Here is a 25,473-nt window from a genome sequence, read left to right as displayed (position 1 = left end):
CTTACTGTAATCATAACATTTTATCCTTTAGTCATACTAATTTTATTTAACAGAGTTGACTGAAAGGTTTTTTACTTATTTTTTAGAACACCAAAAATACATTTAAAGAGTAAAAATATATTCTACAGTAAGGTTATTAAAATTGTATTGCATCTTCCAAAGACCATCCCCAAATCATATTGCTGTTTTCAGAAACAGTGTCATGCGTTTCTAGCCTCTTCTTGGAGAAAGGCCATCATGTTGCCCTGAAATTGAAGCCAGTAGTGACCTAAATCTAATTACAAGTATAACTAAGCTCAGACAAAATGAAATACAGATTACATTAACTTAGGCCCCCATATCTGGCAGTCTGACAGAACAGAGATGTGATATGGTTTGGCTGTGTCCCCACCCAAATCTCAGGTTGAATTGTAATCCCCATGTGTAGAAGGAGGGGCCTAATGGGAGGGGATTGAATCATGGGGTTGGACTTCCCCCTTCTTGTTCTCATGATAGGATTATCATGAGATCTGCTTGTTTGAAACTGTATAGCTCTTCCCCTTTGCTTTCTCTTTCCTGCCACCATGTGAAGAAGGTGCTTGCCTCCCCTTTTCCTTCCACCATGATTGTGAGTTTTCTGAGGCTTCCCAGACATGTTTCCTGTACAACCTGTGGAACTGTGAATCAATTAAACTTCTTTTCTCCATAATTTGCCCAATCTCAGGTAGTTCTTTATAGCAGTGTGAGGACAGAATAACACAAGATGTAAACTTTTCTGGGCTAAATAATACTTATTTAGCATTATACTATTTTGTATTTTTAACACACAATAACTATCATGTGATCCAAACTTCTAAGACAAATAAAACATCAAAAAATTAATACATCCTCAGAAGGGAAACCGTTATAAAGTCTGATGCAGAGATGGCTTAGATGTTGGAATTTTCAGACAAGAGCTTTAAAATAACTATGAGAAATATGTTAAATGCTTTAAAGAAGAGGTTAGCAACATTGGGGTACAACAGGAGAGAGATGAAAACTATAGAAAAGAAACAAATGGGATTATTAGAAATAAAAATATATGATAAAAAACCTGAAGAATTTATTTGATCAGTTGATGCAGTCTGGGCACAGACAAGGAAAGAGTCAGTGAACCTGAAATGATGTTAACAGGACTTATAAAATCTGAAACCTATGAACATACACACAAAATTCTTAACAAAACGTTAGCAAATCAAATCACATGACAAAGGAGAAGAATAATGCATCATGACAAGAGTTTATCTCAGAAATGCTCTTTGTTGAACACTAAAATTTTGACTGATTTAATTCACCATATTAAGAAGAAAATATCATAAAATAACTTCAATAGAACCAGAACATGCATTTGGTAATATTCAGCACTCATTTTAATAAGAACTTTCAGAAAATGAGAAATAGAAAGAAACTTTCTCAGTCTAACTTAGGGCATCTATGAAAAACCTACAGACAAATCTGAAACCTATGAACATACACACAAAATTCTTAACAAAACGTTAGCAAATCAAATCATATGACAAAGGAGAAGAATAATGCATCATGATAAGAGTTTATCTCAGAAATGCTCTTTGTTGAACACTAAAATTTTGACTGATTTAATTCACCATATTAAGAAGAAAATATCATAAAATAACCTCAATAGAACCAGAACATGCATTTGGTAATATTCAGCACTCATTTTAATAAGAACTTTCAGAAAATGAGAAATAGAAAGAAACTTTCTCAGTCTAACTTAGGGCATCTATGAAAAACCTACAGCCAACATCACACATGATGAAACATTCATCACTCTCCTTTGAGATCAGAAATAATGCAAGGGTGTCAACTCTGATCACTATATTTTAACTTACAGCTGTTTTACATATATATTAGGACCAAGGTTCTTACTAAGTAAGCTGAGACATTCTTATCCAGCAGTGTCTTGTCCTCTACTTGCCCCTGCAGCCCTGGGATTTGAAGATAACACTATACTGTAGTGATAGTCTCAATCCTGATATTATTCAACATCTCAATAATTCATTCATTTTATTAATTCAGAGTCCAGTATGTGTCAGGAACTGTGCTAGGTGAAGTCCTTACAGTTGTTCTTAAGTAACATACAGACAGGTGGAGGAGGAACATAATAAACTAGAATTTAGAATAAAGGTTGACACATGCTGTTACAGAAATAATCACAGACTCCCACTGGCACAAAGAAGAACACATCACCTAGTCTTGGAAAGAGGAGGAAGTAAGGAAAGTCTTCCAGGAGCCCGTGAGTATTAATCCTCAGATTTGACTACTAGCCATTGTTTCTTGCTATTAGGTCCCAAACCACAAACACTAAATCCAGTGCAACCAGAGGAACTTGCCAGAGACCCCATGTGTCTTTGGCCTTCTTTACTGTTAATAAGGCAGAGACAGCATAACAGGAGGTACATTCATTTATCCCAACTTGAGAGAAAGGGAGTGTGTCTTCACCCCAATAGTACAGTAAAGACAAGGATCAGTGGTGCAGTAAACTTGCTGTTGGCCCTTTCTTTCAATCTGGCTGTTTGTGTGACCATTTACGGTGATCAGTCCTTCCTGGTCTTGGTACTGCAGCTACTTTTTCTGGAATTATCTGACTTATTCATAATTTTCTGTATCCACTATCCCCAATGAATGCATGTAGAGAAACTAACTAGATAATGAGCAGATACTGCACCACACTTATATTTCCCTCAAGCCAATGGAGAGCTACTGAAGGAGTTTAAGAAGGGAAAGGTGTCACTGTATGATTCACATTTATTTTAAGAAATATTACTCCAGTGACAATGTGAAAAGTGAACTTAAGGGGGCAAGACAGGAGTCTTGGAAACCATTTAGGAAATTGTTACCATAGTGGACTGCAAAATGATGATGGCATAATTCAAGGTGCTGGTGCTAAGGTGGAGAGAAAAGGACAGATACAAGAGAATGAATAAATAGCACTTAGTGGTTAATTGGACTTGAGGAGTGACATAGGATAATTATGTTTTAGCCCTTCCTCCTTCATCATTCATCAAAGGACATTTTTGTAACATTATATATTACCCTCCTGAATTTTATACTTCTTCATGAAAGCATGCATTTCTCAATTACCTTGTTAAAAGCCTGAAAATGTTCATCCATTTATAATTTTTTTGTGTCAGCTCCTACGATAGCAAAAATAAAATGTATCTTTGAACAAACTATTATATCATGTTACAGCACAAAACTTTGAACATTATATTCAAGTATGCATAAGATAAATACAAGATGCAATTTCCATCTATCGTAAAATAGCTTTATGTGTTTATTTCAGTGGAAACTTGAACTAAAAGAAATCAAAGAGGTATTTCAAGTTGTTTTCTGGTTAACCCTAAATTAACCAAGATTCTCTCTTTATATCAGTATCTATTATTGAAAATCTTGTTAGAAATAAACTGTTCATCTCCTACCTCACTAACTACACCATACCAAACATAATTCAATTTCTTTCATGAGTTAAAGATGTTTTCATACCCATAAGTCATTATAAACATCAATGTGTCCTCACTCTTGAACTCACTTTATATTTAGTGATGACTTGATCCATTAAGCGAAACAAGGAAAGAATAAGATCAAGTTTCCTTATAAAACTAATAACCTAGTAGAATAAATAGCATAGTTTCAGGGGGGAATTTTAGATTTAACTTTCAGGAACGCTATTGAATGCAGACAATGTGCATGTTGCGGGAGGGAGCATTTTCATGTATCGGCCTAGAGGGAACAGTAGTGTTCTGAAAGAAGAAGCATGTCTGGCTTTTCAAAGAATAACAAGGAGGTAAGTATGGCTGCAAATGAGTGAGCAAGAAGTGGGAAATGAGGTCTGAGAAGTGATCAGCTACAGTGGTTTTAAAACATAACTCTCAAGTTATTTGGCACTCCTCCCATTGAGGAAGAAGGCTTAGACCCCATCCCTTGAATCTAGGCCTAGCAACTGCTTGACGAGTATCATAAGGTTGACTTGAGGCTGTGCCAGTTTCCAGGTCAGACTTTAAGAAAATGGCATCTTCTACTTCCTGTTCCTTGGGATGCTTACTCTTGGAGCACAGCCACCAAGCTGTGAGAAGTGCAATCCATACGGAGAGGCTACGTATGGGGGTATGGCCAACAGCCCACTGGCTGCAAGCATCAATTGCCAGACTTGTAATTGAGAAGGCCTGTCAGATGATTCGAGTCCCTTCCAGCCACCATCAGACTCTGAATGCATGAGAGGACCTGAGAGAGAACTGCCAAGCTGAGCCAAATTAACCCCAGAAACATAAGGTATAATAATAAAATGATCACTGTTTTCATTCATTAACTATTGGGGGTGATTTGTTACACAGCCATAAATAAATAATCAAAACAGAAATGTCTACATCCAGCAAGGATGTTTAGGCCATTACAAGGCTTTCACACTGAGTGAGAGATTGCCAAATTTGAGCTGAAGTTTGCTTTGGTTTGATTTATATTTTAAAAGGATATAAGTGCTGATTTGATAGAACAGTGTGAGGGTCAAGAATGAAAGGAAAGGACACTGATGTAACCTAGGTGTGAATTCGTGGGTTTGAACCAAGGTGGTGAGCACTGATCATAATCAGGGTATATTTAAATGTAGGCTTAACAGGATTTCCCGGAAACATTGATGTGAGTGTAGTCCATTTGTATATGTGCATTCTCTCAACAATGATCTTTATTTATAAGCATTTCCTCTTAGCACAGACAGAGTAGGTACACATGTTTCTGGCTTCTGTCAGTCTGTTAACACATTTAAAGGGAACATTGTTCAGGCACTTGCTGTTTCTTGTACATTCAGTTTCATCCTATGGAAAATATTTCATTGGTCACTAGTGGCCACTTTTATAGTTTTCTTTAAACTTCCAAAAGTAAGTACTCCTTCTTCCCTCTTTAGTTAAAGTAAGATAAATGAAAAGTAAAACAAACAAACAAAAACCCACAGCAGACTGGATACTACCTGGAGCCCATCTAGATGTATTTACCTGGTCTCTCATTTAAGGGAGCGATTTAGTTGGATGAGTACTGTATTAGTCAGGGTTCTCTAGAAGGACAGAACTAATGAAAAAAATATATATATATATACACACACACACATATATATAATATATATATATAAAATATATATAAAAATCATATAATCCAATATATATAGTCCATTATGATCATATATATATATGGAAGTTTATTGAGTATTATTAACTCACATGATCACGAGGTCCCACAGTAGACTGTCTGCAGGCTGAGGAGTAAAGAGAGCCAGTCCGAGTTCCAAAACTGAATAACTTTGAGTCCAATGTTCGAGGGCAAGAAGCATCCAGCACGGGAGAATGGCATTGTAATTTTGACTTCAAAAGGCCATTCCACCCTTCCATCAGTCCGGCTCCTTCAGGATGATGAGGAACATGGTAAGACCAGAGAATTCCATGAGCATGAGCCCACTGCTGCACTTCTTTAGCCATATAGTGAGTGCCTCGGTCAGAGGCAATGCTGTGTGGAATACCATGACGGTGGATAAGGCATTCTGTGTGTCCATGGATGGTAGTTTTGGCAGAAACATTGTGTGCAGGATAGGCAGACCCATATCCGGAGTAAGTGTCTATTTCCAGTGAGGACAAACCTCTGCCCTTTCCATGATGGAAGAGATCCAATATAATCAACCTGCCACCAGGTAGCTCGCTGATCACCCTGAGGAATGGTGTCATATCAAGGGCTCAGTGTTGGTCTCTGCTGCTGGCAAATTGGGCACTCAGCAGTGGCTGGAGCCAGATCAGCTTTGGTGAGTGGAAGTCCATGTTGCTGAGCCCATGTGTAATCTCCATCCCTGCCACCATGGCCACTTTGTTCATGGGCCCATTGGCCAATGACAGGGGTGGCTGGGGAAAGAGGATGAGTGATGTCCACAGAATGGGTTATCCTATCCACTTGATTATTACAATTCTCCTCTGCTGAGGTCACCCATTGGTGAACACTCACATGGGATACAAATATCTTCACAGATTTTGACCATTCAGAGAGGTCCAACCACAAACCTCTTCCCCAAATTTCTTTACCACCAATTTTCCAATCATGCTTCTTCCAAGCCCCTGACCATCCAGCCAAACCATTGACTACAGTCCATGAATGAGTATATAATTGCATATCTGGCCATTTCTCCTTTCATGCAAAGTGCACAACCAGGTGCATTGCTTCTAGTTCTTCCCACTGGGAAGATTTCCCTTCACCACCTTCCTTCATGGATGTCCTAGACAAGGGCTGTAGTGCTGCAGCTGTCCACTTTTGGGTGGTGACTGCTTATCATGTGGAACCATCTGTGAACCAGGCCCTAGTCTTCTCTTCCTCTGTCAACTGATCATAGGGAACTCCCCATGAAGCCCTTGGTGCAGGCTGGAGGAAAGAAGGCAGGGTGGTAGGAGTGGAGACCATAGGTGTTTGAACCACTTCCTCATGTAACCTACTTGTGCCTTCAGGACCTGCTTGAGCCCGATCATGTATATACCACTTCCATTTGATGATGAAATGCTGCTGTGCATGACCCACTTAATGTCTAGATGGGTCAGAAAGCACCCAGTTCATGATAGACAGTTCAGATCACATGGTGACTTGATGACCCATGGTCAAATGTTCAGTTTCCACCAAAGCCCAGTAACAGACCAAGAGTTGTCTCTCAAAAGGACAGTAGTTATCTGCAGAAGATGGCAGGGCCTTGTCCCAAGACCCTAGAGCCCTCCATTGTGTTTCACCTATGGGGGCCTGTCAAAGGCTCCAAGCCGCATCCCCATCTGCCACTGATACCTCAAGCACCATTGGATCTGCTGGATCATATGGCCCAAGTGGCAAAGCAGCTTACACAGCAGCCTGGACCTGTTGCAGAGCTTTCTCCTGTTCTGGATCCCACTCAAAATTGGCAGCCTTTTAAGCCACTTGATAAATGGGATGGAGTAACACACCCAAACGAGGAATGTGGTGCCTCCAAAATCCATGTTGTGCCTTTTTCTTGATTGTAGGAGGGGCCAAATGCAGCAACATATCCTTCACCTTAGAAGGAATATCTCGATGGGCCTCACACCACTGGATCCCTAGAAATTTTACTGAGGTAGAGGTCCCTGAATTTCAGCCGGATGTATTGCGCATCCACTGGCACACAAATGTCTCACCAGTAAGTACAGTGTGTTTATTACTGCTTACTCCCTGGATCCAATCAGCATAAGGTCATCAAGGTAATGGACCAGTGCGATATCTTGTGGAAGTGAAAAGTGATCAAGATCTCTTCTAATAAGATCATGACAAAAGCCGGACTGTTGATATATCCCTGAGGTAGAACTGTAAAGGCATGTTGCTGGCCTTGCTAGCTGAAGCCCAGTTGCTTCTTATGGAACTTATGGACAGGAATGGAGCAAATGCCAAGTCATTGGCTGCATACCAGGTACTAGGAGATGTGTTAATTTGCTCAAATCAATGAAACCACATATGGTAAAGCAGCTGCAATTGGAGTCACCACTTGGTTAAGCTTACGATAATCCACTGTCATTCTCCAAGATCCATCTGTCTTCTGCACAGGCCAAATGGGAGACTTGAATGGGGATGTGATGGGAATCACCACCCCTGCATCTTTCAAGTCTTTGATGCTGGCACTAATCTCCACAGTCCCTCCAGGGATGTAATATTATTTTTGATTTACTATTTTTCTAGGTAGAGGCAGCTCTAATGGCTTCCATTTGGCCTTTTCCACCATAATAGACCTCACCCTACCAGTCAGGGAGCCAGTGTGGGGGTTCTGCCAGCTGCTAAGTATGTCTATGGCAATTATGCATTCTGGTACTGGGGAAATGACAGCAGGATGAGTCCGGGGACCCACTGGACCCACTGTAAGTCAAACCCGAGCTAAAACTCCATTAATTACACAACTACCATAAGCCCCTACTTTAACTGGAGGCCCACAATGACTTTTTGGGTCCCCTAGAATTAGCATCAGCTCAGAGCCAGTGTCCAGTAGTCCCTGAAATGTCTGATCATTTCCCTTTCCCCAAGCCACAATTACCCTGGCAAAAGGACATAGGTCTCCTTGGGGAAGAATGGGAGAATGATTCACTGTCTAAATTGTTGGTAATATAATGGGGTCTGGCCTCCCCTTTATTCAAGTGTTTCTTGGTCTGTAAACTGGCTCAAGTCTGGAAATTGATTGAGGCTATGATTCTGTTTTTATAATTCAAAGTAGTCTTTTGTCCAATCGATCTAGAAATCTTCTGCTTATATAAATTAAGTAGGAATGCAGTAGGCTTCCTATCAATTTCACCTTTACGAACAGTGTGATTAATTAACCAATGCCAGAGCTCTACACGAGTCAGACTGTTCTGATTGCCACTTTGCCTTTGCTGTCCATTATGGTAGCTATGCCCAGCTTGCCTTTGACAGTTGAGTGACACCACTTGGCCCCTGCCACCTTGGGATCTAATTATTCCCATTGTGTTTAAATTTTGTAGTTGAGTGCCTGTGGTTCCCACTGTTAGATCTGACATATAGAAAACAGCAATCACAGAGCTCTTCAAAGATGCAGGTGCTGCCCTCACAAATCTATTTTGCAAGGCATTGGTCAAGGGTGTATCTTCTGGAGCCTCCCAGCTGGGATGAGTAGGACTAAAGTGACTAATCCACTCCACCATCCCAATCTCCCTAAGCCTTTGGATCCCTTCCTCTGCATTAAGCCAAGGGAGATCAGGCATTTCCAGCTCGCTCACAGTGGGCCATCTTTTAATCCATATTTCAGCTAACCAAGCAAATAAACTGTTAGAACCTTTTTAAATTCCCTGAGCTGCCACATTAAATGCAGAGTCCCTACTTAGTGGGCTCAAATCAATAAATTCAGCCTGATCCAACTTTATGTTCCTTCCACCTAATCCCATACCTTTAATATCCATTCCCATGCCTATTCTCCAGATTCTGTTTATATAAATTGGGAAACTCAAGAAGTTCTTTCCGAGTGTAGCACAGCTCCTCATGGGTCACACTCTCAACCTCACCTCTATGGGCCCGCTGGGACTTTAGTCTAGTTATAGGTCTAGAAGCAAACAGGGGTGTTGGAGGTGGCTCCTGAGGAGAATCAACATTATCTTGCCTGGCAACTGCTTCAAGGGAGGCCATCACTGTTGCCTCAGGCAGTGCAGGGTTTATCTCCTCAGACAAATGTGGAAAGCTGATGGCAGCATGGGTCATGGAGGGGATATTGCCACTACTAGGGATGGGGAAGCTGTTTCTTCTGACAAAAAAGGTTCATCAGAGTTTACGGTGTCCCCAGCTTCATCAGGCCCCCCCACACCCATCCCCATTCCAAGTGGCAGAGTCTCCATTCTTTTCCAATCAATGCCCTCACATTAACAGTAGACACCTAGTGAGGCTGTGCCTGCACCTTTCATTGCATGTCAGCCACTCACATGATAAGAGCTTGTGTCTGTTTTTCCACAATTTCAGCTCTTTCTCTACAGGAGATGAGACTCTCACTCAGGTCAATCTTAGCAGATTTGCTCAGTATCTGCTACTGCTTCTGAAGCTGGGAGATAGAATCCCTGAGTTCATCATTTTCTGTCATCACTTTGTCCACTGAACTTAGGTGCAACCAACCAACTTCATTATGTTCCCTGGTTCTCCACATATGGTCAAAGGTATTATGTATGGAGTCACTAAACTTGCCTCTCGCGAGCGATGAATCAGGATTGTCAGTGCACTTATTTTGCATAACTCTAAACAGTTCATGACAAGGACTATCAGTGTTCTCCATACTATTAGAAGTAGGGTCCTTAGCATTTTGGGGTGTAATCATATAAGCAGCTAACTCCAGAAACCCCCAAACCAATGAAAGAACTCAATCCTTAATATTCTGTTCCTCTAGAACCACTCCTGGTAAAAATATCTGTATTAGTCAGAGTTCTATAGAGGGACAGAACTAATGTAATATACATATGTGTGTGTGTATATATATGGAAGTTTATTAAGTATTAACTCACACCAGTCACAAGGTCCCACAATAGGCTGTCTGCATGCTGAGGAGCAAGGAGAGCCAGTCTGAGTTCCAAAATTGAAGAACTTGGAGTCTGATGTTTGACGGCAGGAAGCATCCAGCACAGGAGAAAGATGTAGGCTGGGAGGTTAGGCCAGCCTCTCTTTTTACATTTTTCTGCATGCTTATATTCTAGCTACACTGGCAGCTGATTAGACTGTGCCCACCAAGATTGAGGGTGGGTCTGCCTTTCCCAGTCCACTGACTGAAATGTTAATCTCCGTTGGCTACACCCTCACAGACACACCCAGGATCAATACTTTGTATCCTTCAATCCAATCAAATTGACACTCAGTATTAACCATCTCAGGTAGTGTTTTCACAGTAACACTGTGACAAAGTTTATTGCAGCAGATCACTTTCTTCAATTAAAATAAATATATAATTAAGGCCTATGGAAAACCATGTGTACTTGGTAGGGGAGTCTGCATTTGTTACATTCTTGTGAAATGACAGGGTGCCAATGCCACTATGCATTAAAATATAGTTTTCCTTTTGTGGATTCTTTGTTCAAAAACTGAGAAAAGAATGAGTAAGAATGAGGGTCCAGGAAATAAAAAATGACAATAGAAAGAATGCAAAAGTAACACAAAAGCATATCCCAGAAAAAGGAAGGAACCTGTGATTCTGGATAAGAGTGTGTTTAGGAAAGAAAAGCTAATAATACCTTGAGTTGTCATAAAAAAGATAAATAAGTCCTTTGAGATCAACAGCTCACAAACTGTCCACTAAGGCTGAAGGGTAAGCATGAGGTTTGTCATATTGTGTCATATCAAATCAGAGTTTGGCTTGTCTCACCCGGGTTGAGGGCCTGAGTCATTTCAACAATCCTCCTCAGAACTTTCAAGTGCAGCTTCTCAAGCAGGAGACTCACCAGTCTACCAGGTCATGCTTAATTTTGCTGGATGGGATCTCAAAATTCAACCCATAAGATGCCAAATGGAGAGGGTCCTTTGTAGCTTGGATCTAAAAACATTAATCCTGGAAATGGGAAAGTAGTATTTTTATTTTGACTTTGCATTTAAAGATAAGATTGACTAAATCAGAATTTCAGTGAAATCCTAAATAAAGGTGAAAGTTGATGCCTGGTTACAACAGCCGCTGGACCATGTGTAACATCATTTCAGGTGGGGGCAAAAGATGTGATGTGTGAAAATATAGTAAAGGCACCATCAGAGAATCACTTGAAGAACCCTTTGAAATTATAACTTAATTAGGCCTCTTGGAAGAGAATGCCTTGCCAAGTGCAAGTATTCATTCATCATAATCTGAAATATCATTTTCTTATCTTTATTATTCTAATGTATTTATTGAGAAGAAGCTGTGTAATTCTTGTTGTCAGTTAAGAAAAAAGGTGAAACACCATATGGTGGAAAGAATTAGTAGAGTGCTAGACCTTTCTCTGCCATTGAAGTGTAAACCTGGGCAATTCATGATCTGTCCAGTAACAGTTCCCCCATGAATAAAATTTTTCTTTAAATACCCTCTTCTCATATTCCTCCCCAATCTCCTGTTTATTCATTTGAGGGTGGCTTACCCTAGACTGTGATCAGGAAATTCAGGTACTAGTTCTTGGTAGCCTTTGATTTGCACATGTGCCCAACATCACTGGGTTTCCACTCCTGACAACACTGTTTACCTTCTAGAAACTCCCTCTTTCTGTAGGGTGCAGCATGTTGTCCAGAGAGCTACTGGAGAAATGGAGGCAGATGAAATCCTTCCTCCTTTTTGTCATCTAGGTCCTTCAAATAAAACCAACACCAAAATATACAGGTCAAAGGAACTGTTTTATTGAAGGACTGGGATGCATTAAAAGGATAATTATTATATAGGAGGGCAAGAGTCAACATTATACATTGAATAATATATATTTTTTAAGTAAGTACTGCTCAGGGAGAAAGTACCATTCATGAGTGCATCCTCCTGCTTTATCCTGGCTTCCCAGCCCTCTGGCTCTGTAGAAGAGTGGAAGTGGGAGCCAGAGAAGTGGCTTTGTGACTTAGGCATTTTCAGCAAGAGTAGAGATGAGTCTTTGAGGTCCTTTCACATTTGTAGTGGTGTAAACTGTAGTCGTGTTCATCTCTAGAGATTTTAATTCTAAATTTCGAATGGTTACGTATGTTGAATTATCATACTCACACCTCCCCAAAACAAGTCTTATTTATTCAATTATTCATGCATTCATTCATGCATGTATTCATTCATTCATCAAGTATTACACAAGCACCTACTGTCTGCCATGTTAATAGTGAAACTGTAAACAAGTCATTTAAGCAAGGTAATCTTTGATTGTGATTAGTATTCAAGATATTAAACAGGGAGGGAATTTGAGTTCCACTGAGGGAGTGCTACTTTAGGTAAGATGATCAAGAATGATCTCTCTGAGGAAACAATATTTGAGATAAGATTTTGTGCCATAAAATCAGGATAATAATTTTATCTACCTTGAAGATGTTTGGTGAGGAGTAAATGACATCATGTATGCAAAGTGATTACTATGTGGCTTATAGTTAACACCTAATAACTATTAGCAGTCATTATGTGTATTATTTTTATTATTAATCTTTATAACATCCTTACAAGATAGGTAGAGAATATACTATTGATCTATTTTACAGATGAGGAAACTAACTTAGAGACATTAAAAGATTTTTCGGGGCCCACACAGCTAGTAAATGGTAGAACCAGGATTTAAACCCTAATCTTTTGACTACTCTTCCAGTGTGCTTTCAGCATACAATTTCAAACCACTTGGAAGGAGCATTTCTTTATCCATGTATCCATCTCTTCATTCACATCCATCCATACATTTATGCATGCATCCATCTATCTACTTACCCATTTACCTGTATTAGTCAGGATTCTCCAGAGAAAAAGATCCAGTAGGATCTTGATCACTTTCTCTCGGGGAGATATTTATATTTAAGAATTGGCTCTCACAATTGTGGGGGCTAAAAAGTCTGAAATTTATAAGGCAGTATGGCAGGTGGAAATTTCAGCAAGAATTGATGCTGCAGTCTTAAGTCCAAAGGCAATCTGGAGACAAAATGCCCTTTTTGTTAGAGAACCTCTCAGTCTTTTCTCTTAAGGCCTGCTGTGGTCTGAATGTTTGTGCCCCTCCAAATTTATACATTGAAATCTAACTCTCAGTTTGATAGTGTTAGAAAGTGAAGACTTTGGGGAGGGAGTAGGTCACCAGGGCTCTGCCTAATTAGTCCTCTTGTAAAAGAAGCTCCAGAGAGCTAGCTAGTCTTTTTCTCATGTAAGGACATAGCTAGAAGGCACCATCTATGGAAAAGAGGGCCTTCATAAGACACAGAACCTGCCAATATCTTGATTTTGAACTTCCCAGCCTCCAGAACTATAAGAAATACATTTTTGTTGTTTATAAGCGACCTAGTCTCAGGTGTTTTGTTATAGCATTTCAAAGGAACTCAGACAGGGCCTTTAACTATTGAATAAAGCCCAACAACATTATATGTGCTTTACTCAGTCTATTGATTTAAATGTTAATCACATCTAAAAAATACCTTCACAGCAACATGTAGACTGATATTTGACCAAACAATTGGGCAACTTAGCCTACTCAATTTGATGCATAAAATTATCATGCTTTCTTTCTCTCCTTTTCTTTCTTTCTTTCTTTCTTTCGTTCTCTTTTTCTTTCTTTCTTTTCTTTCTTTCTCTTTCTTTCTTTCTTCTTTTCTTTGCTTTTTCTCCTTCTCTCGCTCTTTTTATTTATTTCTTTCTTCCTCTATCTAGGAGTGAATGCTACCATTTGTCATGAAATTTACATTAAGCTATTGAATAAATAGAAGTTCCCTATTAATTTTCACTTTCAGTTTGGGAGGCACAGGCAGACTCAGGTTCCAAGCAAGCGTTCTTCTACATACACTCTTTGATAGAATGTGCTTGTGTTCTAAATGCCATTATAAATCATATTTTATTTTAGTTGCCATGCATCACAGTGGATTTGCACCACTGTTTCAGGTATTTACTGTAACTATTTTACTTCTGTTCCTCAGTTCAACTGAACAAACCAAGTACTTTCACAAAATAATTTCCCACAAATTTCATGTAACATCACAATATTAAAGAGCCCCAACAAGAAAAAAATAGCCTTCAAAAAGAAGTTGGAAGCATATATGGGAATGATGATTCCTTGGTCATTCATTAAAAAATATAAAACAAATATTTTACAATTTTGATAAAGAAGTTGATGGTCAAGATATGTCAGTTCCATTCATTGATTCTATAATATAATACCTGTAAATTTATTGTAAGGTAACGATATCCAATGTAGACAATAATTTATGCACATAAGTATTACTTGGAATTATGGAAATGAACACAACTGAATTGTTAATAATAGACAAATGTCTAAATATAGTAGAGTATGTTTTGCAGTCCTTCAAAAGGTTTTATGGGACTTTTTAAAACACATGAAAAACTGGTTATAAATGTATGTAATTAAAGCAGAATTCTCTCTCTATATGTCTCTATCTGTAGCATCTCAGTTATGTAAAAAGTGCAGACTAGAAGGTTTTTTACTGAAAAAAATATGGTTATTATCTATAGTAGTTTCTATCTTTGGATGGAAGTAGTATGAGTGACTTTTTTCTATGTATTATCTTTATTAAAAATAACTGTTATATAGCCAGGAGTGATGGCACAAGCCTGTAGGTCCAGCTACTCAAGAGGCTGAGGCAGGAATATCACGTGAGCCCAGGAGTTCCAGAATAGAACTGGGCAAAGCAAAACTCTATCTCTAAAAAATTTAAAACGTAGAGGAAAAAATAAAAATAAAAAATAATGTTTATATTATATGAGTACACTTTTATGATAATTAAAAATAAACACAATTATCCTACAATTTAAAAATAAAAGGAAAGGAAATAAATGTAAGTATCCTAGTTCCATGTAATGAGTTTAAGTACTATATTTTGTGGCACATAATCTTCCCTTGTTTATACAATAATAAAATAAAGATACAATAGTAAATTAAGGAAAACATGGCAATATCTCTCAGTCCATTCGATTAGCTACAAAACTCTTGTAGTTTAATTTATGGGATACATTCTGGAAAAAAAAATTTCTCAAGTTTCAGATTTTACTTTTATATCCTCACACCATGAAGCTTCTCTGAAATTGATGAGTAATTTGTGTGACCATCCTTGCATTGTTTGCCTGGAATGCTCTTGCACCTTCTTTCTCATTAACTTTGGTCTGCATTTAAGCTCCTGCACAAGCCTCGAGACCTCCAGGAATTTCTCTCAGATTCCTCCAGCCCAGAGTAATCTTTCTTTCACATATTCAGCACATCATGTATTCACATTAACTGTGAGGCTTCACCCTCCCCCTAAACTCTTGAATCCATCTCAACTCTTTTCCATTAGTGGTTTTCTGTATCCATTACTCTGTCCTTCACATATGCAAGAGTGCCTTTTTCTGTAATCTGCACACAGGTTCAAGCCTCTCACTGTATGCTTTTCAACAACTTCTGGTCTTTTCAGCCAAGCTGGACTGTGCTGTCTCCATTTACTTCTTCTTCAAGTCATAGGGGTCAAGCTTTAACCCTATGACACAAGCTACCCATAACCTTTAATTCTTAAATGCAATTTACAGTTTTCAGTGTTTTTTATGTGACTTTCATGTGGTAATTGACATTGTTAGCTGCCACTTTGGGAAAAGCTTTTCCTTTGCCTGATACCCCACTTTCTCCTTATTTTCCTTCTACTTTTTAGCTTGTTCTTTATGTCAATCTTCTTTGCAGGATTGTCTGTCTATTCCTTCTCATTTGGAGTTACTGTTTTTCAGGATTATGGATTGATTTTCTTCTTCATCTTCCATTTATCTAATCTATTTTCTCAGGGTGATTTCATCTACTCCTAGGCTTCAACTAGAATCAACATAATATTGACCCTCAACTATTAATAAATAAGTCACAATGTAGTTTTTCTTGTTTCTGAGTTTTATGCTTATCTCTCTATCTACTTTATGAAGATGCACACTTGAATTTTCCAGATACCTAAAATACCACATAATAAAACTGAACTAATTATAAGACCACTTTTACATGTCCATTTGGACTGCTGTAGCAAAATATAAGCTATGATGCTTTTAAACAACAGACTTTTATTTCTCACACTTCTTGAGGCTGGGCTGTCCAAGAACAAGGCACTGTCAGATCTACTGTCTGGTGAGGGCCCATTTCCTGGTTCATAGATGGAGACTTCTTACTGTGTCCTTGCGGAAGGAAGGGAGCTTTCTCAGGCACTTTTTATGATGGCACTAATGCCATTCATGAGGACTCCACTGTCATGACCCAATCACCTTCTAAAAGTCCCACCACCTAATACCATCACCTTGAGGGCTAGGATTCCAACACATACATTTTTAGGGAAAGAAAACTTTCAATCTGTAGCCACCACCTCCAACAACAACTTAGTCACCTTTTGGTGTGTGTGTGGGTGCACATGTTTTATGGTTGATACCATCACCTTATCACTGAGAAATAAAATCCTTGTATTATTTTCAATTTCTACCCTTTTCTTCACTGCCGTTGGCCTGCTTCCATAAAATCAATTATGGACTCATCATTTAGCAAATTATTGCAATAAACTTCTAACTTGTTTCCTTGCCTCTATTCCACTCCCATCTAATTGTCTTCCACATTAAAGCCAGTCTTTTTCTATTTTTAACAATTATTGTTCCTGTTAACCCTTTACTTGGCTTCCTTTATTGAACTTTTCTATAGCTTTATAAAGGTCAATGGGTTTAACTCTTGACTTATGGCCAGATACTGCCTGATATGATTTGGCTATGTCCCCACCCAAATCTCACCTTGAATTGTAATAATCTCCATGTCTCAAGAGCAGGGCCAGGTGGAGATAATTGAATCATGGGGGTAGTTTCTCCCATACTGTTCTCATGGTAGTGAATAAGTCTTATAAGATCTGATGGTTTTATAAATGACAGTTTCCTTGCCACGATGTAAGATGTCCCTTTGCTCTTCCTTCATCTTTCACCATGATTGTGAGGCCTCCCCCACCATGTGGAACTGTGAGTCCGTTAAACCTCTTTTCTTTATAAATTACCCAGTCTCAGGTACATCTTTATTAGCAGCATGAGAAAAGACTAATACACTGCCCTGCTATTTTCTATAGTTGTCCGACTTTGTCTTTTAATCTGTGCATCTACTACTTCTTTTCTTCAAATATACCATACTTTATTCTGTCTCTCCAAAATATGCATCCTGTCATGATATTCCTATAACATTGCTATGTTTCTTTCTCAGAAATAACCTTATGTAAAAAGCTTTCCTGAAACACCTATCCAGAAAGAACTAGTGATTTTAAGATGTTTCTGTACTTGTTCATCTTTTTTCACCATCTTTATTAGAATTAATTATAAATTATAAATGTAATTATATATAATTCTAACATAATTATAAGATTCCTGAAAATAGTGTGATCCTAATTTTTCCTTTGAATACCCTATAAAATATAGTACAAGGGTGAAATATGGGTACTGCTCAATGAATATTTAATTCATGAGTTTCACAACTCAGAACTCCCTTTAGTGGACCACATGAGTCTGCTTCACAGTTATTCGGTTCATTTGTCTATAATTCAGCAAGTATCTATAGCAACAAATAAAGGTCATTGTGTTTTACTGTTGGTTTATGGCTTGGGACTGCCATGCTATTTTCATGTTATCTGTTTTAAGGAGAATAAACATAAGAGGGCTTTTTTACAAAAACAAACAAACAAACAAATATGCATTTCATCTTATGGGAATTTTGAGACTGGAGATTTTTCTTTCAAAATGTATTGCTAGCCCGAAGAAAAATGATAAAGCTGGTGATTTGCTTTGGGGACACTACCACTCTACTCTTACAGCATTTTCCCCCACTCTTTACAATCTCATTCTTCCACCTACATCTCCAGAGTACATAATGCCCACCAGGGCTCCTCATGAAACCCTAACTTGGAAAATTGTCTCAGGTTACTATCTTTTCTTGAAACTCCTATTCTTTCACAATGTGATTGTAGGTTGCTTTTACTAATCTAATAGAATAAATAGCATTAGGTATGGGTGATTAAAAACATTTGATACATTACCAATCACAGGTGCATTTGAATTTTAAAAGACTTCTCCGGAGATATGTGGTTTTTCATTGTATTATTCTAATGGTAGAATTTAAGTTGCTTGTGGTGGGAGAGTGGAAGTACTAGGGCAATTCTAGCATGTAGATAACCAGTTATCTCCTTTGTCACACAGTATTTGAATAGGCACTGGAATTTGTCAAAACTGGAGGGTAAAAGCTCTGTATTAGTCTGTTCTCACACTGCTGATGAAGACATACCTGAGACTGGGCACTTTACAAAAGACAGTGGTTTAAGGGACTTATAGCTCCACATGGCTGGAGAGGCCTCACAATCATGCTGGAAGGCAAGGAGGAGAAAGTCACATCTTACATGGGTGGCAGCAGGTAAAGAGAGAGAGAGAGCTTGTGCAGGGAATCTCCCATTTTTAAAACCATCAGATCTCATGAGACTTATTCACTATCACCAGAACAGCATGGGAAAGACCTGCCTCCATGATTCAATTGCCTCCCACCAGGTTCCTCCAATGACACATGGGCATTGTGGGAATTACAATTCAAAATGAGATTTGGGTGGGGACACAGCCAAACTATATCAGGCACAGTTCTCTACAAGACTGCCCTCACTTCAATTATCAGCTCCAAGTTTGGGGATTCTAGAGCCACTCTCAGTTCTGACCAGCTACCTCAGGGTTTCCCATGACCACCCTTAAGTTCAACAATTTATGGAAAAGACTTACAGAACTTACTGAAAATGCTTCTTATATCATTACAATGTTATTATAGCAACAGGATACAAACGATAACAAGAAAAAAGAAGAGATGCGTAGAACAGAGTTTGCAAGAGTTCCATTTACAAAGTCTCCATTGTCCAAAGGAATGTCTTACTCTCTCAGTATCAAAGTACAACAATGCTCAAAGAATACTGACAACCAAGGTAGTTCACACAAGCTTCAGTGTCCAGAAGTTTTGTTGACATTTCACTGGGTACACATGATTGTTGAAACGTTGGCCATGTGGATAAACTCAATCTCAAAGCCTTCCCCAGAGGAGGGGTTGATGTCACTTGGCTCAAAGCCCAAAATCCTCTAATTACGTGGGTGGTTTTTCTGACATAACTAGTCTCCATCCTGAGTAATCTCATTAGCATAAGCGATCTGAGGGCCTGCCCTGAGTCACCTCATTAGCATACACATCAATTGTGACTGGGGTCCATCATGGATAACAAAGATACCCATATCACTCAAGAAATTCCAAGAGTTAAAATGTTACCTCCCAGGAAATGGGGATGCCAGACTAATTCTTCATTACACAATGATAAATACACAAATTTAACAACTTTCTTACAGAGCAGAAAAACATTTAGCTCTTTGGATTTCTGTGTGTGAATTTTGAAATGAAATGAGAAAAAGTTGGATGGCCATAGTTTATAAAATATCTATAACCTTCATTCTCCACTACCTTTATTAAAATAGATAAAACCCAATACCATACTATTCATTTATTAGACTTCCACTTTTTTAAAAAAGGAGGAATTCCTTTCTGCTGCCAAACCATTAACATAATAATAATAATGTGAGCAATATATTTTTTGTCTGAATCAAAAGCTTGAAAAATGAAAGCATAAACTATAAGCTTAAGAATCAATGAGAACTCAAAATTGATCAAAGACTTGAATTTAATAGCTAAAACCATAAACTTTTCAGACAAAAACTTAGAGGGATAATCTTCATGTCCCTGGATTTGGTAATGAGTTTTCAGATATAATACCAAAAGTACAGGCAACAACAACAAAAGTAGATTAATTGAACTTATTTAAAAATTTTTGTGCATCAAAGATTATTATCAAGAGAGTAAAAAGACAACCCATAGAATGATAGAAAAATTTTGCAAATCATATATCTAATATTGGTTTAATATTGAGAATAAATGACTCATACCCTTCCAAAACAAAAACAAATCAACCCAATTAAAATGAGGAAAGGATGTGAATAGACATTTCTTTAAAGAAGACATGCAAATGACCAACAAACCATTAAAAAGATATTCAAAATCATTCATTGTCTCAGTGCATTCAGGCTGCTATAACAAAATACCTTAGACTGGGTAATTTATAAACAACAGAAATTTATGGCTCACAGTTCTAGAGGCTGCAAAGTCCAAGATCAACACACCACCATATTCAGCATATAATGAGGTCTCTCAGCTTCATAGATGATCTTTTCTATGTGTCCTCATATGACAGAAGGGGTGAACAAGCTTCCTCAGGCCTCTGTTATAAGAGGACTAATCCCATTCATGACAGTAGATGCCTCATGACCTAATCACCTCCCAAAGGCCCACCTCTCAATAATGCTACATTAGTGATTAAGTTTAAACATATGAATTTGGGGGCTGGGAGGACACAGACATTCAGACCACAGAACTAATCATCCTAATCATTAGGTAAATGCAAATCAAAACTATGATGAGCTACCACTTCACACCGAGTAGGACACCTACTATTAAAAAAAAAAAAAAAACTAAAACAAAAAAACTCAGCAGAAAATAAGTATTTAAGTATCGGGAAGAATGTGGAGAAATTGGAAGCCTTGTGTATTGTTGGTAAGAATGTTGAATAATGTAACCACGGTGGAAAACAGCTCCTCAAAGTATTAAAAATATAATTTGCCACATGACCCAGCAATTCTACTTTCGAGTATATACCTGAAAGACTTGAAAGCAGGATCTCAAAGAGTTATTTGTGTGCCCATGTTTATAACAACATTATTCACAATAGCCAAAAGTGGGAGCAATCCCAGTGTCCATCTACAGATGAATGAATAAACAAAATTTGATATACACATAATGGAATGTTATTCAACAATCAAAAGGAATGAGGTTCGGATACATTCTACAACATGGATGGACTTTGAAACATCATGCTAACTGAAATAATCCAGACCTAAAAGGAAAACTATTACGTATTTCAACTTACATGAGGTATGTAGAACACGAAAATTTTTAGGGACAGAAAGTAGAATAGAAGTTACTAAAGGTGGGGTTGGGGAGGGGAAATGGGAGTTTTTGCTCAATGGGTATAGTTTCTATTTCAGATAACAAAAAATGTTATAGAAATAGATAGTGGTGATGGTCAAACAACATTGTGCATATATTTTATACCTCTGAATGGTACACTTAAAATGATTAAAAATTTAAATTTTGTATTACTGTGATTTTTTAAATGTCAGTGAATTAAACATTCAGGGTAAAGGGAGAAAAATACAAGAATGTGTCATTGTTAGACAACTAGCTATTAAAAGCATAAGGTCAAAGCTTTATAAATTTTTGTAACTATAGAGAAACTTTCAGATGGGTCTTTGTACAGGAAAGAGAGAACGTGCTATAAGAAATTATTTGCTTTTCTGCTTTGTACTTTTTACATTATGTGTAATCAAGATTGTGTGCCCTATTCTAGGCTGATCCAATTAATCGCCCCTAACTTAAAAATGTTTGTGGCTCTATACAACTGTCTGTTACTAAATTATAACTTTATCTAAAGAGTAACATGGTAGACAGAATGCTGACTCCCTAAAATGCCTACTTCCTGATTCCCAGAACCTGTGAATGTATTATGGTTATATGGCAAAAGGGATTTTGCAGACATAATTAAGGTTATAGTACTTGAGATGGGGAGGTTATCCTGGGTTATCCAGGTTTGCTCAATCTAACCACATGAACCCTTAAAAACAGAGAAATTTCTCTGCCTACAGTCAGAGATCCAGCAGAAGAGAAAGGGAGGAGATAGATGAGGCAGAGAAATTTGAAATGTGAGAAGGGCTTGAGTCATTGTTGCTTGCTTTGAAGATGGAGGAAGGTGGCAATGAGCCAAGGAATGTAGTCAGCCTCTAGAAACAGAATGACCTTCATTCAACATCCAGCAAAGTAACAGGAGAGAGCCTCAGTACCTCAGTAGCACAACTCCATGGAACTGAACTCTGTCAAAAGATTGGATTCTAAGTGATCAGGGAAATGGATTCTCCCCAAGAACCTCCAGAACAAATAAAGCCCTGATGGCACGTTGATTTTGGCCTTGTGGGACCCAGAGCAAAGAAACCAGCCAAACCTACTGATTTTTAACCTTTAGAACTGGGCAATAATTTTATGTTGTTATAAGGTACTAAGTTTGTGATATTTGTTATGGCAGTGATAAAAACTATACAGACAATATCTGGAAACACTGCAGTGCTTGTCAATGCATCTGGCTAAATTTCTCCCAAACATTATTCAAAATGCAATAGCAACCAAAAGAATTCCATTACCAAACATATTCACCTTCCTTTCAGGTGGCTCTCTGACATTTAATAGTTTCTGAAATTAAGCAACATGACCCCAAAGTCTCTGAAATTCAGTACCTTTTCCCTGAGTATATCTTGACTTTTTATAAAGGGCACTCAAAAAAATCAAGGGACAACAAGAAAAATAAAAGAACATTGTTATTTTTTTTTCCTGGCAAGTTAGCAAAATCTCAATTCAAATATTGCATATTTGATGTTGAATAATAATGACTCAGGAGATGATTTCTCACTTGCAGAATAAAAAATACTTTAACTTGAAGAAAGGAAAACTTCTATCTGTACACTTTACAAGATGACACTCTGAACACTATTCGTTTTGGGATTTGCTCCAAGTCTCAAGGTCAAGACAGCTAAGGTAATCCCAGAGGTCTAGAGTATACATTTCAAGAGAGGAGAATTCACACAGATATGATTCAGATGCAAGTGAAATGAAATAAAGATTTTTTTTTACTTTCTGAAATATTGCTGACAATCCGGTTTCACATCCAGAATATTAGTTTTATTCTACTCCATAACAAGTTTCTATAAACTTAGTGGATAAAACAACACACATTTCTTACCTCTTATTGTCCGTAAGTCAGGAGTCTCCAGTCACAACTTGGCTGGGTTCTCTGCTCATTTTTGCAGGGTTTCAACCGAGCTGCATTTTCATCTGGAGGCTTAGCTGGGAAAGCATCAGATTTCAAGCTCAATCAGGTGGTTGCAGAATTCATTTCACTGTAGCTGTGGACTGAGGACCCTGACTTTTTTCTGCCTGTCAGTTTTCAGCTGGAGGCTGCCCTCAGGTCTTACAGGCCACCAGCAGTTCTTTGCCATGTGGACTTTTTCAACATAGTTGCTTACTTCATTGAACCAGCAAGGAGAAGCTCTAAAGCAGTCGACTAGCAAGATTTATATAATGTGATGTAATCATAGGAGTGGCATCCTATCACTTTTTCATATACTATTAGGCACAAGTCACACAGGTGCCACCTACACTCAAGGGGAGGGATTAGGCAGGAGTGTGAATATCAGCAGGCGGGTATTTTACTGTGAGGCCGGAGTCACCTTAGAGTCTGTCTGCTAGTCAAATTTCATGATTGTCTATGCTTAGAAAATTAAAAAAAACAGACCTTTGTTTCTTTTTAAAAGTTTCCTATACTCATTGAGAGACAAATATGGTAAATATTGGTTAACAGCACTTATATTGGAATATTTGCATATACCTGGGATCAAATACCAATTCTAATGTGTGATTTTGGGCTAGTTGTTCAACCGCTGTAAACCTGAACTTACTTTTATGGAAAATGCAGACAAAAATGCCTATTTACTAGTTTTTCTGTGAGAACTAAATGATAGAATACAAGTTAACATATTTAGTAAAGTGAGACAAAATTTGAGAAAAAAATGTTATTTATACTTTTTTTGTTTTTATAAAAACTTCCTTCTGATTCTCAGGCAAGAGTCAAAATGTGTATACTAGGAAAAAACAGTATCTATTTGAAACAATGTCTGTAGCATAACCCAGTCTGCCTAACAGATGAAATACATGCTCTATGGAGAGATTTTTCTGACTATACATTTCATTTTAAGTCATTATTATTCCATTAACACTAGTTTTTGAACATTTGAATTTTACAAATTTTTATTTTAAAAAATACCAAATTTATACTCAAATTTAAAATAATTCTCTCAATTTGAGTTGAACTGGATTGACTGTTTAGTAGATATACAAAAATAACCGAACATCTCAATAATTTTGAGGGGTTTATTTATTGGCCCCCGTTTAAGTAACGAGTTTGCCTGCAAGAGGCATAAAACCATCCAAGTACTTAGGATACAAACAAAGTGGCAATGGAGAGTGTTATGTTATGCCGTGTGGGCTGCATTCAGTTTCACATAAATTGTTGAAATATAAAATATGGTTCATGGTATGAGTTCATGTACCAGCTGAATTTATTTTTGTCAATTAACAGCTGCATATGCTGCTGAGATCCTTTGGCTAATATACTGCATTACTTTCATATTGCAGCATCCAATACAGATCACACCAGGCCACTGCTGTCTTGCAGAGAATAATTTTATTGTAGTCATTATTGTGATCATGGAATATTTCCTTTAGCTTTTGATTCTTGCACTTCACTCATGGTAGCCAAATAAATAGCTAGATAGGTAGGTAGGTAGATGATAGATAGATAGGTAGATAGATAGATAGATAGATAGATAGATAGATAGATAGATAGATAGTACCTGTGAGTGATTCATGCCAGATACTTTTGGCAATTGAGCTATATTGAAAGTTCCCTAGTGATAAAATTTATTAAAATGAATGTATATAAACCAGAAAAAGTATATATTAGAATTGGAGAAGAACATGGAGTCCCGATTTAATGATTTAAGTCCATTCTTGTCTATGCCTTAACTACTTTTCCTTTCTAATTCTTTGTCCATCACAACTATTATTAAGACAAATAAAATTCAGAAAGGAGATTTAGACTTGTTAAAAGATGTGGGACAGGGTCTACCACTTAACATTTTATTATTTTATGGCAATAATTTAATTCTTTTTAGCTTCAGATTCCTCCCCTGTAAAAATGAGATTGCTAAATTTCTGCCCTGACTACCATACACAGTTGTTAGAACGTTTAGAATAATAAAAACAAAATAAGGTATTCTGTGTGTCTCAATTTCTACCTAAGTATGTCTTGAGGCCTTATGGATGTAAATATATAATACCGAGAGTCTGTGGCTAAATCTGAGTTAGCCACACAAACCACAAAATTTATTTAGTTTATTAATTTTTCTATGAAAAATGCATATAACTTTAAAAATTCTACTCCTTAATACATTGCACTACCTTTAATAAAATTTTTTTTAATCCTGATACCAAAACCTGGCAGAGACACAATAAAAAAAGAAAATTTCTGGCCAATATCCCTGATGAACATCGATGCGAA

The 25,473-nt window shown here is 37.7% G+C and overlaps 1 long non-coding RNA gene across 1 annotated transcript in view; it reads right to left on the bottom strand.

The window, feature by feature from the left end:
* Positions 1 to 23,160, bottom strand: part of STPG2-AS1 (STPG2 antisense RNA 1) — a 123,239-nt gene extending 100,079 nt beyond the window's left edge. Inside the window, exon 1 of the long non-coding RNA NR_102713.1 lies at positions 23,098 to 23,160. This is a non-coding gene — a long non-coding RNA (STPG2 antisense RNA 1). The remainder of the gene's footprint in view (positions 1 to 23,097) is intronic.
* Positions 23,161 to 25,473: the final 2,313 nt, after the last annotated feature.

This window comes from Homo sapiens, chromosome 4 (genome assembly GCF_000001405.40).
Source record: "Homo sapiens chromosome 4, GRCh38.p14 Primary Assembly".
In the NCBI taxonomy this organism is placed as follows: domain Eukaryota; kingdom Metazoa; phylum Chordata; class Mammalia; order Primates; family Hominidae; genus Homo; species Homo sapiens.
The sequence above is the reverse complement of the archived record's forward strand: the minus strand, read 5'-3'. Positions and strand labels throughout refer to the sequence as shown.